General features: G+C 46.3%; 1 protein-coding gene and 1 long non-coding RNA gene across 5 annotated transcripts in view, besides 3 other annotated features; both read right to left on the bottom strand.

Annotated features, from left to right (window-relative positions):
• Positions 1-18,581, bottom strand: part of SAE1 (SUMO1 activating enzyme subunit 1) — a 79,802-nt gene that overhangs the window by 36,287 nt on the left and 24,934 nt on the right. For all 4 annotated transcript variants that reach the window (NR_027280.2, NM_005500.3, NM_001145714.2 and 1 more), the window contains exon 6: positions 4,427-4,532. Coding sequence is in view for 3 of the 4 variants with exons in the window: in NM_005500.3 (NP_005491.1) it covers positions 4,427-4,532 (106 nt within the window). In the remaining variant the exon portion in view is untranslated. The remainder of the gene's footprint in view (positions 1-4,426; positions 4,533-18,581) is intronic.
• LOC124904730 (uncharacterized) lies at positions 11,042-17,680 on the bottom strand. Its single transcript, XR_007067277.1, has 2 exons — positions 17,169-17,680; positions 11,042-15,954 (listed from the first exon to the last, which is right to left on the bottom strand). It is a non-coding gene; the product is annotated as an uncharacterized LOC124904730 (long non-coding RNA).
• Positions 15,682-16,224: an enhancer, noted in NCBI's record as "H3K27ac-H3K4me1 hESC enhancer chr19:47661383-47661925 (GRCh37/hg19 assembly coordinates)". NCBI's record gives its function as "activates a minimal SCP1, AML or CMV promoter by ChIP-STARR-seq in naive and primed H9 embryonic stem cells {active_cell/tissue: H9 hESC(naive and primed)}" and the evidence as "EXISTENCE:reporter gene assay evidence [ECO:0000049][PMID:30033119]".
• Positions 16,225-16,766: an enhancer, noted in NCBI's record as "OCT4-NANOG-H3K27ac-H3K4me1 hESC enhancer chr19:47660841-47661382 (GRCh37/hg19 assembly coordinates)". NCBI's record gives its function as "activates a minimal SCP1, AML or CMV promoter by ChIP-STARR-seq in naive and primed H9 embryonic stem cells {active_cell/tissue: H9 hESC(naive and primed)}" and the evidence as "EXISTENCE:reporter gene assay evidence [ECO:0000049][PMID:30033119]".
• Positions 16,767-17,310: an enhancer, noted in NCBI's record as "OCT4-NANOG-H3K27ac hESC enhancer chr19:47660297-47660840 (GRCh37/hg19 assembly coordinates)". NCBI's record gives its function as "activates a minimal SCP1, AML or CMV promoter by ChIP-STARR-seq in naive and primed H9 embryonic stem cells {active_cell/tissue: H9 hESC(naive and primed)}" and the evidence as "EXISTENCE:reporter gene assay evidence [ECO:0000049][PMID:30033119]".

Raw genomic sequence — 18,581 nt, 5'->3', positions numbered from 1 at the left:
TGGTAAATTTTATGTTATGTGCTTTTCACCACACCAAAAAAAAAAAAAAAGAAAAAGAAAAAAGAAAAGAAATTTACTGCACATAGTTTTAATGTTTTGATTACCATATCCAAAGCCCTGGAACTCAAAACTGAAAAAGACAGATAATTAATGCCATCTGGGAGAGAGTGGTAAACATGATAGGATATATTATCCAGCAAAGGGTCATAGGCACTCATGAGACTGTTGCCATAATACCCACTGAGGGATGGAATTAAGGGTAAACAGGCTGGGCGAAGTGGCTCACGTCTGTAATCCCAGCACTTTGGGAGGCCGAGGCGGGTGGATCACGAGGTCAGGAGTTCGAGACCATCCTGGCTAACGCGGTGAAACCCCGTCTCTACTAAAAATACAAAAAATTAGCCAGGCATAGTGGCAGGCGCCTGTAGTCCCAGCTAGTCGGGAGGCTGAGGCAGGAGAATGGCGTGAACCCAGGAGGCTGAGCTTGCAGTGAGCTGAGATTGCACCACTGCACTCCAGCCTGGGTGACAGAGAGAGACTCCGTCTCAAAAAAAAAAAAAAAAGAAAAGAAAGAAAAGAAAGGAGTCAACTGGCCTTTGAGTTTAGCATAATCCAGTGGTTCTCAACTGGGGACATGTGGCAGTGGTGTCTGGAAACATTTTTTGATGTTAGAGCTGGGTGGGGAGATATTACTGGCATCTAGTGAGTAGAGGATAGGGGTGTTACTAAATATCCCACAGTGCACAGGACAGTCCCCCGTGACAGTGTTATCCAGCACAGAATGTCAGTAGTGTGCTGAAGTGAGGAAATCCTGATTTTATCCTCTGCAGTTTCCAGAGTATTTTCTCATCCATCTCAACATCACAGGGGTCATTGAACTGAGGGGACAAAACTGATATCTAGGAGCAAAGTGAATATTCAGTGCAGGTGCTACTGGACATCAGCATCAGAAGTTACGGGGTTGGAGGGGTGGACAGGTGGTTGAGGAAGAAACAGTAGCTATATGACTTCTGTGGCAGGCAGTGGTGCATGGTTGTTCCGAACAAGACTTTGGGCCGGGCGCGGTGGCTCACGCCTCTAATCCCAGCACTTTGGGAGGCCGAGGCAGGCGGTTCACGAGGTCAAGAGTTCGAGACCAGCCTGGCCAACACGGTGGAACCCTGCCTCTACTAAGAATACAAAAATTAGCTGGGTGTGGTGGTGCGTGCCTGTAGAATCGCTCGAACCCAGGAGGCAGAAGTTGCAGTGAGCCAAGATCGCCCCACTGCACTCCTACCTGGGTGATAGAGCAAGACTCTGTCTCTGGGGAAAAAGAAAAAGAACAAGACCTTTGGAATCAAAACAGACCTGGCTTCCAGTGGGCACTGCCATTTTGTTTTAGATGGGTGATCTTGAGCCACTGACTTTAAATTCCCTGAGCCTCAGATTCCCCTCTGTAGCTGGTGGTGTTAATAGCACTTGCCTGAGGGCCTTTGTGAGATGAAGGTGATATACATGGAAAACGCCCGGCACAGAGCAAGTCCTAGAGAACTCTGTCATCCGTGAAGATATGTGCTTTTTTTCTTTTCTCTTTTTTTTTTTTGGCGTGTACACTTTTCAACTCTGGAGTAGATGATCTGTGATTGACTCTGTTTCTCCCCCTTTTTTTTGGAGATGGAGTTCAGCTCTGTCACCCAGGCTGGAGTGCTTTGGCATGATCTCGGATTCTGCAACTTTTGCCTCCTAGGTTTAAGTGCTTCTGCCTCAGCCTCCCGAGTAGCTGGGATTACAGGCGCACACCACCTCATCCGGCTAATTTTTGTATTTTTAGTAGCCCAGCCCAGTTGACTCCTTTCATAAGCAGCAGTTAGAGATGCTCAAGTCAAACCCAAACCTTGGCAAATTAGCGCCATTGTTTCCTGAGGGCTTTCTATGTGCGAGGCAGTGAGCAACAAGCTTCTCCCAAAGGGCCCAGGCACTGTTCCCACATGGAAAAGACTCTGCTCTTACTGCTGGTGCCTCTTCCACACCTGATCCCACTATCAAGAGGAGGCATTTTCTGAGTGCAGCCCACTCACATGCAACACTCATTCCTGCTCAACCCATTTATTTCTACACAAATGGATATTCGGGACTTTCAAATAGTTCATCCAGCTGAGCGTGGTGGCTCACGCCTGTAATCCCAGCACTTCGGGAGGCCGAGGCAGGTGGATCATCTGAGGTTGGGAGTTTGAGGCCAGCCTGGCCAACATGGTGAAACCCCGTTTCTACTAAAAATACAAAAATTAGCTGGGTGTGCTGGTGGGCACCTGTAATCCCAGCTACTCGGGAGGCTGAGGCGGGGAAACTGTTTGAACCGGGAGGTGGAGGTTGCAGTGAGCCAAGATTGCACCACTGCACTCCAGCCTGGGTGACAGAGTGAGACTCCGTCTCAAAAAAATAAATGCATAAATAACATTAAAAAAAATACTTTTTAAAAAACTACCATGCCTGTAATCCCAGCACTTTGGGAGGCTGAGGTGGGCAGATCACCTGGGGTCAGGAGTTCAAGACCAGCCTGGCCAACATGGTGAAACCCTGTCTCTACTAAAATACAAAAATTAGCGCAGCCAGGTGCAGTGGCTCACGTCTGTAATCCCAACACTTTGGGAGACTGAGGTGGGCAGATCACCTGAGGTCAGGAGTTCGAGACCAGCCTGGCCAAGATGGTGAAAATACAAAAAAAATACAAAAATACTAAAAATACAAAAAATTAGCCAAGCGTGGTGGCAGGTGCCTGTGATCCCAGCTACTCAGGATGCTGAGGCAGGAGAATCGCTTGAACCTGGGAGGTGGAGGTTGCAGTGAGCCAAGATCACGCCACTGCTCTCCTGGGCAACAGAGTGAGACTCCATCTCAAAAAAAAAGAAAATTAGCTGGGCATGGTGGTGCCCGCCTGTATTTCAGCTACTCGGGAGGCTGAGGCAGGAGAATTGCTTGAGCCTGGGAGGCAGAGGTTGCAGTGTGCCAAGATCGTGCCACTGCACTCCAGCCTGGGCGACAGAGCTAGACTCCGTCTCCAAAAAAAAAATTAAAATAAAAATTAAAAGTGCCAGGTTTGCCAGGCGCGGTGGCTCACACCTGTAATCACAGCACTTTGGGGGGCTGAGGTGGGCGGATCACGAGGTCAAGAGAGTGAGCCCAACCTGGCCAACATGGTGAAACCCTGTCTCTACTAAAAATATAAAAATTAGCTGGGTGTGGTGGCACGCGCCTGCAGTCCCAGCTACTCGGGAGGCTGAGGCAGAAGAATCGCTTGAACCCAGGAGGCAGAGGTTACAGTGAGCCAAGATCACACCACTGCACTCCAGCCTGGGGACAGAGCGAGACTCCATCTCAAAAACAAACAAAAAAGTGCCAGGTACAGGAAGAACACTGAAAAGCCAACCAATACTTACTAACAGTCTCTTGACCACCAGCAAAGATGGACTGATAAGTAGTTCATTAATAGCAAGAGGAAAAACAACCCCACCTTTCATAAGCGTGAGGATGGTTTTGAGGCAGAGAAAGAATTCTGAAGAGGGGAACAAGCACTGGTGGCTTACGCCTTTAACTCCAGCACTTTGGAAGGCCAACGCGGGGATTTCACTAGAGCTCAGGAGTTCAAGTCCAGCCTGGCTACATGGAGAAACTTCGCTTCTACAAAAAAATACAAAAACTAGCTGGGCACAGTGGCGTGTGCTTGTAGTACCAGCTACTCAGGAGCCTGAGGCATGGGGAGCACTTAAGCCCAGGAAGTAGAGGCTACAGTGAACCATGATAGCGCTACTGCATTCCAGCCTGGGTGACAGAGCAAGACTCTGTCTCAAAAAAAAAAAAAAAAAAAAAGGCGGGGGGCGGTGAAGAGAAGTTGGTTGATCAGGCTTCACATGGTGGCTCATGCCTATAATCTCAGAACTTCAGGGCCTGGGCATCATGGTGAAACCCCATCTCTACTCAAAATACAAAAATTAGCCGGGCGCAGTGGTGCATGCCTGTCATCCCAGCTTCTGGGGACACTAAGACACCAGAATCGCTTCAACCCAGGAGGTGGAGGTTGCAGTGAGCCAAGATTGCACCCCACTGCACTCCAGTCTGGGTGACAGAGCAAGACTCTGTCTCAAAAAAAGAAAAAAGAAAAAAAAAGAGGTTTCTCAATCTGTGACCTGTAACACTATTACCATAAGGTCAACTTGACAGGGAGGTCATTTCAACAAGTAAAAAAAGGAGAAGTCATTAGAACCCAGAGCTCAATGGTAGACCTCACCCCCTTCAAGTGACCACCCCTTTCTCAAGTGATCACTGAGAACTAGCCAATGAAGAATGCCACCCAAGGCAAACATCACAAAACCATCTGGACCTTGCAACCACATTTGCAGAAATCAGAGCCAAAAGCTCTCCCGGGGTAAGTTGTGCTTTGAGACCTCACCTTGAAGGAGAAAGTAGTCGGAGGTCGTGCGCTTCAGAGCAGCCTTTGCTTTCTCACTGCTCCAGTCCACCTCCAGGGCTTCTTTAACAGGGCAGAAGACCACCTTCTGTGGAAAAAAGGCAGAACTGCTTAGGAATAACATATGCTGGCTTCCAATCACAAGGCAGTTGCTCTTCTCTATTGCAGAAAAATCTCATTATTTAAAGTTTACTGACCATTAAAAGAAGCAGGGGCCATTTGATCCAAGAAATGCTTATTGAACACTCACTGTGTGCTTCTGTAGAGGCTGGGGATGGACAACACAAACTCCCTGCACTGAAGGAAGACAGAGCCAAGCTTCCAAAGACCTGCTTCCACTCTGGCCCTTTAACTCTCACTGGGCCAGGCGCGGTGGGTCACACCTGTAATCCCAACACTTTGGAGACCGAGGCAGGCGGATCACATGAGGTCAGGAGTTCGAGACCAGCCTGGCCAACATGGTGAAACCCCCGTCTCTACAAATATACAAAAATTAGCTAGGCATGCTGGCGGCCGCCTGTAGTCCCAGATACTTGGGAGGCTGAGGCAGGAGAATCGCTTGAACCCAGGAGGTGGAGTTTGCAGCGAGCCAAGATCGCGTCACTGCACTCCAGCCTCTGGATGAAGGAGTAAGACTCCTCAAAAAAACCAAAACAAAACTAAAAAACCTCTGGCTGTATTCATACTACAGGAATACTTCCACAATGAGGGGCAAGAATGTAAGTCTAACAATATTCTATAAAACATTTTTGTAATAGTAAACAAAAACAAAAATTAAATGTTTCTTGGCAGAGGAATGGTATAATGATGATGGATGACATAATAAATAACAGCAAGAGAAACAATAAAAGGGATGGGACAATGCTCCAGGTTGTGGAAACAGGAACAGCATTTGCAAAAAGCCCAGTAATAGGCAGAAGGATGGCTAGGACCTACAAAGCTCAATCAAATTATCTTGATAAATGCAATGACATATATTTTACTTTGAAATACCATTTACAAGTCCAGGCACAGTGGCTCACGCCTGTGATCCTAGCACTTTGGGAGGCCGAGGCGGGTGGATCGCCTGAGGTCAGGAGTTCAAGACCAGCCTGACCAACATAGTGAAACCCCGTCTCTATTAAAAATACAAAAATTAGTTGGACGTGGTGGCAGGCACCTGTAATCCCAACTACCTGGGAGGCTGAGGCAGGAGAATCGCTTGAACCTAGGAGGGGGGAGGTTGCAGTGAGCTGAGATCGCGCCATTGCACTCCAGCCTCAGCAACAAGAGCGAAACTCTGTCTCAAAAACAACAACAACAACACATTTATGGCTGAGTGTGGTGGCTCACTTTTGTAATCTCAGCACTCTGGCAGGCCAAAGTGGCATGATCACCTGAGTCCAGGAGTCAAATAACAGCCTGGGCAACAAAGTGAGACCCCAATCTCTACAAGTTAGCTGGGTGCAGTGGCATGCACCTGTGGTACCAGCTTCACAGGAGGCTGAGGCAAGAGAACTGTTTTAGCACAGGAGGTCGAGGCTGCAGTGAGCCAGATCGTACCACTGCACTCCAGCCTGGGTGACAGAAAAAACAGAGAGAGAGAGAAAAAAATACAGACTGAAATATTTGGAAATGACACATGTGGCATCATGCTGGGACCACTTTCACAAATGGTTCGCATATAAACACACATACAAAAAAACAGTTTTTTGTTTTAAACATTTTTTTTTTCCAGACAGTCTCCCCCTCTGTCACCCAGGCTGGAGTGCAGTGCATGATCTCAGCTCGCTGCAACCTCCGTGTCCTGGGTTCAAGCAATTCTCGTGCCTCAGCGCCCCCAGTAGCTGGGATTACAGATGCATGCCACCACGCCCAGCTAATTTTTGTATTTTTAGTAGAGACAGGATTTCACTATATTGCCCAGGCTAGTCTCAAACTCCTGACCTTAGGTGATCTGCCTGCCTCGGTCTCCCAAAGTGTTGGGATTATAGGCGTGAGCCACTGTGCCTAGCCAGAAAAAAGCAGTTCTTAGAACTAGCTACCCTTAAGAAGTTTAAGATAGCCAAGCTGGGGGAACACTGTTAGATCCCGTCTCTAAAAAAAATTATTTTAGGCCAGGCGTGGTATAGACTCTGTGTCTCTATATTTTAAAAAGGTTGGTGGTGGGCGGTGGGGGGGATGCAAATAATTTCAAACTTACAGAGGTGTCTTTCTTCCTCCCTCTCTCTCCATACCCTCCCAACCAGATATTTAAAGAACAGAGAGACAAGATGATAACAGCATAATTTGGGAAGCTAAGTGAACCAAGATCTATCAGTTACCAGGCAGTTTACAAAGCTTGCTAAGGATGCATATAGATTTGACAGATAAAAGTTCAAATTGTTGGCTGGGCGCAGTGGCTCACACCTGTAATCCCAGCACTTTGGGAGGCCAAGGCGGGCAGATCACAAGGTCAGGAGATCGAGACCATCCTGGCTAACATGGCGAAACTCCGTCTCTACTAAAAATACAAAAAAATTAGCCAGGCGTGGTGGCAGGCACCTGCAGTCCCAGCTACTCGGGAGGCTGAGGCAGGAGAATGGCGTGAACCCATCGTGCCACTACACCCCAGCCTGGGGGACAGAGCGAGACTCTCAAAAAAAAAAAAAATACAAAAATTATCTGGGCGCAGGCCGGGTGTGGTGGCTCACACCTGTAATCCTAGCATTTTGGGAGGCCAAGGCGGGTGGATCACTAGAGGTCAGGAATTGGAGACCAGCCTGGCCAACACGGTGAAACCCTGTCTCTACTAAAAATACAAAAAAATTAGCTGGGTGTGGTGGCAGGCACCTGTAATCCCAGCTGCTCAGGAAGCTGAGGGAGCAGAATCACTTGGACCCAGGAGGTGGAGGTTGCAGCGAGCCAAGGTCACACCACTACACTCCAGCCTGGGCAACAAGGTGAGACGCCGTCTCAAAAAAAAAAAAGTTCAAATTGCTAGTGAAGATTAAACAGTCATGTTTAGGTGGCTTTCCTTTAGGAGTTAAATCCATTGTTAAAGATAGTATACAAGATGTTTTCACTGCCCTCAAATCTTTTGGTCAATGGGTCTGTTTGACCTCAAAAGATAAGTCATGAAGTCGGCCTGGTGACATTTTATGCCTGCTATATAGACCACCAGGCCCTTCTCAACAAGTCTGAAAATACACATCAAGTCATTTGCAATATGGTCTGGGAATGCCATCAGAATGAGGAAACACAGTATTACCAGGCAGGTTTCAAAAATTACCAAGAGCTCAATTCGGAGTCTTTGTTGTTTGCCTGACTATAAGCAACGAACCAACTAATATGTTAGGCTACTATATGATGAAACGGAGTTGGGGGTGGAGGTTGTGTTTTAGAATCTCAGTCCCAGGCAGGTCTTGCCTGTTAGCTAACACTTTCAGGGCCTGGGGCAAGAGTATGAATGAAGACCCATATATGATGTCTACATATTTAGTTATAAATCACACTAACAAGCTATTAAATGAAGTATATTGTATTATCCTGTCTTGACAAACTCGCCTTCTTCATAACCACCTGGAAGGCCTGGATCAAATTTGAAATTTTCACACTCCTTAGGAGTTCTGTGCCAGATTAAGGCACATCGGGAAAGCTGGCCCCCATCCGTGCCCACTTCTCTTCCCATGCCTGGCTCTGTCCCACAATACTGGTGGCTCTGCACTTGAGTGTAGCTACCCAGCTCATCCTTTCTCACCAAACCCCCACGTCTCTGGCCTAAGCATTCAGACATTGTGACAAGGCCTGCACTGCACAGGCAGAACAGGGAAGCAGCCCACAAAAAGTCCTGAGAAGCTTGGGGTTGTCTGGGCAGGAGATTTCAGGGGTCCCAGGTATCCAGAGTGTGGTCTACAACTGAGGGAAGAAAGCCACAGGTGACAGCCAGAAGTGGGCACAGGACCCCAACCAGGCCAATCAGATTCTCTCTCCTGGGAACTGAAAATGTGAAAGTTGGAATGCAGAGATGCAGATACACATAATGACAATGCTCTAAAGGGAAAGGCCACAAATTCCTAATGCCTCTGGGATTGCCCAGTGGCCCTGGTCTTTACTACTCCTCTCAGATAACAGTAGTTATTCAGTGCTTCTTACACTCCACTTAACAATCCTTTTGGTTCAAACTAACTCATAACAATTAAAAACAAAACAAAACTTAACCAAGCTGCCTAATCTGTAGCAGCAGATGCAAAAGGTGGTACCTGTCTTACCCACTCCACTGGCATTACGCTTATAAAGAAAAAATACACCCGACAATGCCTTCAGGGAATCAGGAGTCTTTCAGGTGAGGCACCCACAGTGTCTGCCAGGGAGTGGCATCCACTATCCACTGGAATGAACCCCTGAAAACAGGTAACTTACATACCTCCTCTCCTCCACTTCCTCAGCTCAAGAATACCTCTGCCTAGAATGCCTGAGCCACTCTTCTCCACCATCCTTCACATACATTTCTGGGCTTAAGGACTTCAATCAACAATCTAGTTAAGACTAATAACAAGGCCGGGTGCGGTGGCTCACACCTATAATCCCAGCACTTTGGGAGGCCAAGGTGGGTAGACCACCTGAGGTCAGGAGTTCGAGACCAGCCTGGCCAACATGGTGAAACCCCGTCTCCACTAAAAATATAAAAATTAGCCGGACATGGTGGCATGTGCCTGTAATCCCAGCTACTTGGGAGGCTGAGACAGGAGAATCGCTTGAACCCAGGAGGCTGAGGTTGCAGTGAGCCGAGATCACAATCAAACCACTGTACTCCAGCCTGGGCAAGAGAGCAAGACTCCGTCTCAAAAAAAAAAAAAAAAAAAAAAAAAGACTTGGCTCATGCCTGTAATCCCAGCACTTTGGGAGGCCAAGGTGAGTGGATCACAAGGTCTGGAGTTCGAGACCAGCCTGGCCAATATGGTGAAACTCCGTCTCTACTAAAAATACAAAAATTAGCCGGGCACTGTGGCTCACGCCTGTAATCCCAGCACTTTGGGAGGCTGAGGCAGGCGGATCACGAGGTCAGGAGATCGAGACCATCCTGGCTAACACGGTGAAACCCCCTCTCTACTAAAAATACAAAAATAAAATTAGCTGGGCGTGGTGGCAGGTGCCTGTAGTTCCATCTACTCAGGAGGCTGAGGCAGGAGAATCGCTTGAACCTGGGAGGCAGAGGTTGCAGTGAGCTGAGATCATGCCACTGCACTCCCGCCTGGGTGACAGAGAAAGACTCTGTCTCAAAAAAAAAAAAAAAAAAAAAAAAAAAGGTGAATTCTCCACATAGCCCATCAACCATCAAATTTGTTGTCAGGAGCCATTTAGCATAGTAGGAAACTGCAATAACCTCAATAACCTCAATACAATAGGTGACTGGTAAAATAGATTATGGCTAGGCAAGAAGAGGAAAAATGACACAGACATTTAAAATCACGCGCTCCAGGCCAGACGTGGTGGCTCATGCCTGTAATCCCAGCACTTTGGGAGGCCAAGGCGGGCGGATCACGAGGTCAGCAGATGGAGACCATCCTAGCTAACACGGTGAAACCCGTCTCTACTAAAAATACAAAAAATTAGCCGGGTGTGGTGGCGGGTGTCTGTAGTCCCAGCTACTCGGGAGGCTGAGGCAGGAGAATGGCGTGAACCCAGGAGGCAGAGCTTGCAGTGAGCCGAGATTGCGCCACTGCACTCCAGCCTGGGCGACAGATCGAGACTTCGTCTCAAAAAAATAAAAAAATAAAAATAAAATAAAATCATGTGCTCCAAAGCAGATTTGGGGAATGCTTATTGAGTGAAAAAAGCAAAAGACAAAACCATGTACATATATATACACATATACAAGCCAGGTGCAATGGCTCACGCCTGTAATCCCAAAACTTTGGGAGGCCGATGTGGGCGGATCACCTGAGGTCAGGAGTTCGAGACCAGCCTGGCGAACAAGGTGAAAACGCCCTCTACTTAAAATACAAAACTTAGCCGGGTGTGGTAGCACAAGCCTGTAATCCCAGCTACTCGGGAGGCTGAGGCCAGAGGATCACTTGAACCTGGGAGACGGAGATCACGCCACTGCGCTCCAGCCTGGGCAATAAAGCAAGACTCTGTCTCTAAATAAATAAATGGCACAGTACTTGCATATACTCTACGTGCATCCTCCCATATACTTTATTTATTTATTTATTTTTGAGATAGAGTCTTGCTCTGTCGCCCAGGCTGGAGTGCAACGGTGCGATCTTGGCTCACTGCAACCTCTGCCTCCCAAGTTCAAGTGATTCTCCTGCCTCAGCCTCCTGAGTAGCTGGGATTACAGGTGTGAGCCACCATGCCCAGCTAATTTTGTATTTCTGTTAGAGATGGGGTTTCACCATGTTGGCCAGGCTGGTCTCCAACTCCTGACCTCAAGTGATCCACCCGCCTTGGCCTCCCAAAGTGCTGGGATTTCAGGCGTGAGGCACTGCGCCTGGCCTCCCATATACTTTAAATCATCTCTAGATTACTTATAATACCTAATGGAATTGCTATGTAAACAGTTGTTATATTGTATTGCTTAGGGAATAATGACAAGAAAAAAAGTCTGTACATGTTTGGTACAGATAGACGCAATGTTTTTTCCCAAATATTTTATTATTAACATAATTTCAATTTTCTTTTTTTTTTTTTGGATGTACTCCAAGCACACTAAAGATTTTTGATCCACAGTTGGTTGAATCCATGAATGTGAAGCCCATTAATAAGGAGAGCTAACTATATATATTATCTGTATTAAACAGTGCCCCAATTTTGTTGTATATACATAGAAAAATACTGAAAGGAAGGTTATAGTTATCATTTGGTAGTAGGATTAACATTTCATTAACTTGTTCTGCATTTTCCACATTTGGAATTATGAACTTATTTTACTTAAAAAAAAATTTTTTTTTGAGACAGTGTGTTGCTCTGTCACCCAGGATGTACTACAGTGGCACAATCTCAGCTCACTGCTGCCTACACTTGCCAGGCTCAGGCAATCCTCCCGCCTCAGCTTCCCCAGTAGCTGAGACCACTGGCACGTGCTACCACGCCCAGCTAATTTTTGTATTTTTGGTAGAGAAGGGGTTTTAGCCACATTGCCCAGGCTGGTCTCAAACTCCTGGGCTCAAGTGATGTGCCCACTTTGGCTTCCCAAAGTGCTGGGATTACAGGCATGAGCCACTGCACCCAGCCTTATTTTACTTCTTAAATCAGGCCTAACAGTAACAAGTAATATAATTCTGCATATAAAGATGAATATAATCCCCAGGTCCTACCCAATCAAAATTCCTGGGGTAGGGGGTGGGGAGGGTAGAGGGACCAAGAATCTTTAAAAAGCTTTAACAAAGTATTCTAACAAATGACAACCATAATCAAAACACATTTTTCACACTCAGCAGAATGGAAAAAAAACGCCTGAAGTTACCAAATGTTACTGATACATAATGTTGGTTCTAGAATATAAATTGATAAAACCACTTGAGAGTAACTTAACGGGGTCTGGTAAAGCTGAAAATGCCCTTATCTTAATTTTACTCCCAGGTATATACCCAAGAGAAATTAACACAATTGCCCAAGGAGATCATCTATACACACACAAACAAAATGCTTATGCAGCACAATTTGTAACAGCAAATTATGAGCATACCCAAATGCTTATAAATAGAAAAATGGATATAAAATAGTAATGTATTTACACAACAAAGACTCTAGCAAAAAACAAAAATAAAAACAAAACAAAAACCAAAAAGAAATGCCCTGCAGGGCTGTCCAAGAGAACTAGCTGTGATGATGGAACAGAATGTAATCTGTGCTATGCAATACAGATGCCAATGGCCACATGTGCTTACTGGCCACTTGAAATGTGACCAGTGAGACTGAGGAACTAAATATTTGATTTGATTTGATTTTAATTAATTTAAACAGCCAGCTGTGGCTAGTGGCTACCAAAATGGACAGCAAAGCCCTAGAACAACATATAAACAGATGGCCTCACAAACGTGTTGCTTCTCCTTAAAAGCAGGTGGCACCATGCATACAATATAAAACCAATTTTTAAGAAGATAAAAAGCATGCAAAGCAATTCTATGTGTTGCTTGGAAATACATACATAAGTAGTAAGAAGAAATGCATAGGAATGAGAAACCCAACTGAGGAGGGTGGTAACTTCTGTTGGAGGGACAGCCAGAGGGCCTCACCATACCAGTAATGTTTGATGCTTCAAATTGAGTGGTAGGTCTATGATGGTGAGCGAAATCATTCTTAATTTATGCCTAAAATATTGTATAATAAGTTCCATGTCATTGTTTAGATTTATAAACACGTGATAAAACAGGAAGTCAAGCAGGGCTGTATCTGCCCCTTCCAGGTGTCTTTTTTAATCCACACAAATGTACCAGCAGCTCTGGGGTTACTTACCTGGTGAGGGTACAGGGAGAAGAAGTAGAAGATAGAGAAACAGCATACAGATTGGTACAAAAGTACCAAAAATATTTGTGTTTTTAAGGCGGATAGTGTTTGTTTTGTTCCATTATCTGCATTGATGCTGCATATCTTCTTTTGTGCATTAAATGTCACAATAAAAAAAATATAGGCTGGGTACGGTGGCTCATGCCTATAATCTCAGCACTTTGAGAGGCCAAGGCAAGAGGATCACTTGAGGCCAGGAGTTTGAGATCAGCCTGGGCAACACAGCAAGAGATCTCAAAAAAAAAAAAAAACCCGAAAAAATTAGCAGAGCATGGTGGCACATGCCTGTGGTCCCAGCTACCTTGGAGACTGAGGTGGGTGGGAGGATCCCTTTAGCCCAGGAGTTCAAGGCTGCAGTGAGCTGTGTTTGTGCCACTGCACTCCAGCCTGGGCTACAGAGTTACATCCCATCTCAAAAATAAATAACATATAAAATTAAATATATATACAGAGATAAGCTAACATTAGCATCCCCCACCCCAACTAACTCTCCTACCTGGAAAACTTGCTATCAGCATTCCACCTAACTGCAAATTTACACCCCTCGTTGCCCTATTTCCACTCCTTTGAACCAAGTAGTTCTGATATTAATAATTAGCAGGATTGGCCAGGAGTGGTGGCTCACGCCTGTAATCCCAGCACTTTGGGAGGCTGAGGCGGGTGGATCACAAGGTCAGGAGATTGAGACCATCCTGGTCAACATGGTGAAACCCCGTTTCTACTAAAAATACAAAAATTAGGCTGGGCACGGTGGCTCACGCCTGTAATCCCAGCACTTTGGGAGGCCGAGGTGGGCGGATCACGAGGTCAGGAGATCGAGACCATCCTGGCTAACACGGTGAAACCCCATCTCTACTAGAAATACAAAAAAATTAGTCGGGCATGGCGGCGGGCATCTGTAGTCCCAGCTACTCGGGAGGCTGAGGCAGGAGAACGGCATGAACCCAGGAGGTGGAGCTTGCAGTGAGCTGAGATCGCACCACTGCACTCCAGCCTGGGCGACAGAGCGAGAGTCCATCTCAAAAAAAAAAAAAAAAAAAAAAAATTAGCTGGGCGTGGTGGCGCGCACCTGTAGTTCCAGCTACTCGGAAGGCTAACGCAGGAGAATCGCTTAAACCCGGGAGGCGGAGGTTGCAGTGAGCCGAGATCGCACCATTGCACTCCAGCTTGGGTGATAGAGTGAGACTCTGTCTCAAAAAAAAAAAAAAAAAAAAAAAAATGCAGGATTTTGAACCTCTCTGGCCTGAGGGTTCCAATCCAGGCAACTGAGTGACTTACTTCTAAATATTTCTGGGCAAGTCTATTGTCTTCTTTGGTATTCTGTTCTCTCAGCTTAGTTCAAATAACCTAAACCGTGAGAATTAATATACTAGAAGGTTAATTCATTTCATTGGTAACAAAGGTTACTTCAATTACTCTTTTTTAAAATGGAAACAATCAGGCTGGAAGCTGTGGCTCACGCCTATAATCCCAGTACTTTGGGAGGCCAAAGTGGGCGGATCACTTGAGGCCAGGAGTTCGAGACCAGCCTGGCCAATATGGAGAAATACCGTCTCTACTAAAAATACAAAAACCAGTCGAGTGTGGTGGCACACACTGGCAGTTCCAGCTACTCCGGAAGCTGAGGCAGGAGAATTGCTTGAACCCAGGAGGCAGAGGCTGCAGTGAGCTGAGATTGTGCCACTGCACTCCAGCCTGGGTGACACAGCAAGACTCCATCTCAGAAATAATAATAATTTTTAAAAATTAAAAATTAGCCAGGTGTAGTGGATGTCTGTAATTCCAGCTACTTGGGAGGCTGCAGTGAGCAGTGTTTGAACCACTGCACTTCAGCCTAGGTGACAGAGTAGTCAGACCCTGCTTCAAAGAAAAAAAAAAAAAAAGGAAGAAAATAATCTCCAGGGTTGCTGGATTATGCTGCAGTTAACAGCCACCAGTACACTGAACAAATATTCCGTGGATATGACTGTGCTACACACTGGACTAGGAGTCTAGCAGTGAACAAGACTACCTTCCCCCTATGGAGCTTAAAATGGAAGCGGGGAGACAGAGACAAGCAACCTAAGGGCCACCAGCAGTGGAAACCAAGGTACCACATGAAAGAAAAAGAACTCGACTGTTTCTTTAATGACGGGTGTAAGAGAGGATGAGAAGGCTGTCAACAAATTGCTCAGAAAGAGGGAGTCAAAAGAATGAATCACTCCTCAACTGTGGAATTTCTCAACTAATTCATGAAAAGAGTATTAATAGTACTCCAAATTAGTCACCTATTTCAGGAGCAGAGGTAAAATTAAATCTGTATTTCTAGTACAGTCAGGAACAAACCCTACTTTGTCTTTAATTTTTAAAGAGCTATTACAGAGTAACCACTGTCAGGCATCTCATCATCTCTGGCAGCACCTAACACAGATAACTCACAATAAAGAAACGTGAACATGGGAGCATGACAGTGGCCTTTTATCCTAAAGGTTTTCCAGAATGATCCCGATGTTCACATATTTTATCCCACCATCCTCCTAATATGTCACGTTACCCTAGCAACTTCAGGGGTATCCCTCTTTGTAAATCATAGGGTGAGCCTATGCCCTTACCCACTGTCTATGCTCTCGCCCCTTCTTCCACAGCTGTGTGGCCTTGGTCAGGTCACTTAATTTCTCATAGCTTCTTTATCAGCTATAGATGGGGACAACAAGACTGGATGTGATTCCCTGCACTCAACACAGTGCCTTGCACACAGTAGGCATTCTGCAACTCATGGAAGGAGCTGGCTGCGGCAGTGAGGGCAGCCACAGCAACTCTGCCCCTACGTCCGTCTTTCGGTTTATCCTACTTCCTCGGACAGAGCACTGCTCTTGGCTCTGGTGCCTGGAAAGCTTGTCCCTCACATGCCAACACAAACAACTCTTCCTCTGGGAAACCTTTTTGGGCACTTCCTTACCACCACCTCATTGCTGTCTCCTCTGGCTCCTGCATGTCAGTGTCCATGTGAGGCTTGTGCCCGAGACCTGATTGTGACGAAATCCGTCTCAAATCTTCTCCTGAGCACCAAAGGAAGCAAACAAACTACTGAGCACCTATTTCTGGGCTAGGCATTTTCCTAAGCCCTTATTTATCAGAATGGCACAGGTGCTAGAAAGGCCCACCAGCTTCCTAGAGGGTGTGAAAACCACAGGCTGTTTTTCCTTTTTGTTTTTCAACGTTACTAATTTAGGAGCACAAAGTGTACCTTGAAGCAAAAGTGGCTTTACAACCTTTGGTTAAACCTAGGGAAAGCGGGGAGGGGAAGGGAACCCTAACCAGAAAACCTTTCACAGGAAACAGGAAGTAGCTGCTTCCCCACCCCCACCCTGCACTCTCTGAGCACAACCCAACTAGTTATTCTGTACAATTAGGCAAAAGGGCAGCATCTGAATCAAGGAATCTTTGGTGTTGGAAGAGAACCTTGAAATCACAGGGCCATCTGTGCCAAAACGGAAGGAGGCATGTTATTGCAAGGTGACAAAGCCATGGCCAAAACCCAGTCCAGCCCAGTCGGTCCGCAGGGCCCTTGGTGAGGCTGCACAAAGGCAAGGTTTGGAATCCCAGGGATTGTCAGCAGGAATGCACTGAATGCCTCGTAACCTTAAGGGCTTGGGGTTGGAATCCGAGCCTGCATTGTTCAAGTGTAACAGCTGACTAACAATGTCAGCTGGGGAATATTTTGATACCTTCCAGCTCAGCTCCACGTAGGAAGAGGCTGCACAAAAACCTCTGTGCCTGTAGGGCCCTCCGGAATGGTGGGCAAAGGCCTGGGCTGCCCACATTCTCCTCATAGCGAGATAAAGTGGTTCCCAAAAGAGGTTTCCAGATCCACCCCAGTGGGCACCATCAGAACTGACTCCAGGGAAACTTCCAGCTGTGAATGGCTAACAAAGCTAGGCACTCTCTCCATTTGAATGTGAAAGACCTGCCTCAATCAGAGAAGGCCCTTAAGCCATAAAACCCTTCACACCAAGGCCAAGTGTCACACTTGTAAGAGGGTGTGATTTATAAACTGACAGCACCCACAAAGCAGCTTTTGTACTCCTCCGTTTGTTAACAATTTATCTCCCCCCACCAAATTCACGGAGCTATTCAGATAAATCTTGACTGGGCCTCAAAAAGAAAGAAAGGCACCCAAGTTTTGGCCAAAACACCAAGGTTCACTCTGGATAATTATGGTTCTGTGAATAGACACTAAAATTAGGGCTTAATTCCTCTGTATCACACTTACAGCACCAAACTACTCCAACACAAACACAAAATGAGAAAGAAAATCTCCAACGCCGCCTTGCTGGAGAGTCTGAGAGTTCCACTTTTGTGGTTTTCTGCAGTCTCTTTTGTGGTTTCTGCACTCTTTAGAATCCCCTCGTTAGCGTAATTTAACTCAACATTCTGACCAGCTGTTTTTCTTTCTCAACATTTAAATCTACAAAGCAAAGAGTAAATATGGGCTTGGTCATGTCTTTCCTCTCAGTTCAATGAAACCAATTCTGGCCCCTTCATCTTGCTTTCCCCATCGCATGGTTCCCATCTCAGATTCCAGCACTAGCTACAGAAACCATCGTCTTCTGATCCCTTCTCCACTCCTTTCTATAAATGTAATTATTGCACCTAATCCAAATAGAGGCTGAGCCCCTAATATAAACTACATTAACAAATATGAATCTGAGGATTCATACCATCCTGGCCAACATGGTGGAACCCCATCTCTACTAAAAATACAAAAATTAGCTGGGTGTGGTGGCACACACCTGTAGTCCCAGCTACTTGGGAGGCTGAGGCAGGAAAATCTCTTGAACCTGGGACGTGGAGGTTGCAGTGAGCTGAGATTGTGCCACTCCAGCCTGGACACAGCAAGACAACATTGAAGGATTTTTCTTATTAAAGGTTATTTGGCAAAAGGAAAAAAACAGGCAAAGAAAACTTTTTTTTTTGGAGACAGAGTCTCGTTCTGTCGCCAGGCTGGAGTGCAGTGTTGCCGTCTCGGCTCACTGCAACATCCGCCTCCCCAGTTCAAGCTATTCTCCTGCCTCAGCCTCCCAAGTAGCTGGGACTACAAGCAACGCACCACCTTGCCCAGCTAATTTTTGTATTGTTAGTAGAGAAAATACAAAAAATTTTTTGTTTTGCTTTTTTTTTTTTTAGACAGGATCTTGCTAGGTGGCCCAGGTTGGGGTGCAGTGGTGTGACCATGGCTCACTGCAGCCTCCACCTCCCAGGCTCAAACAATCCTCCCAGCTCAGCCTATGAGTAGCTGGGCCTACAGGTGCTCACCATCACGCCAGACAAATTTTTACATTTTTTTTGTAGACACGGGGTCTTGCTACTGTAACCCAGGGCTGGTGTTTTGCTGCTTTAAAAAAAAAAGTTTTCTGGTCGGGCATGGTGGCTCATGCCTGTAATCCCAGCACTTTGTGGGGCTGAGGCAGGTGGACCACGAGGTCAAGAGATAAATACCATCCTGGCCAACATGGTGGAACCCCGTCTCTACTAAAAATACAAAAATTAGCTGGGTGTGGTGGCACACACCTGTAGTCCCAGCTACTTGGGAGGCTGAGGCAGGAAAATCTCTTGAACCTGGGACGTGGAGGTTGCAGTGAGCTGAGATTGTGCCACTCCAGCCTGGACACAGCAAGACTCCATC

Source organism: Homo sapiens, chromosome 19 (assembly GCF_000001405.40).
Source record: "Homo sapiens chromosome 19, GRCh38.p14 Primary Assembly".
Classification (NCBI taxonomy): domain Eukaryota; kingdom Metazoa; phylum Chordata; class Mammalia; order Primates; family Hominidae; genus Homo; species Homo sapiens.
The sequence above is the reverse complement of the archived record's forward strand: the minus strand, read 5'-3'. Positions and strand labels throughout refer to the sequence as shown.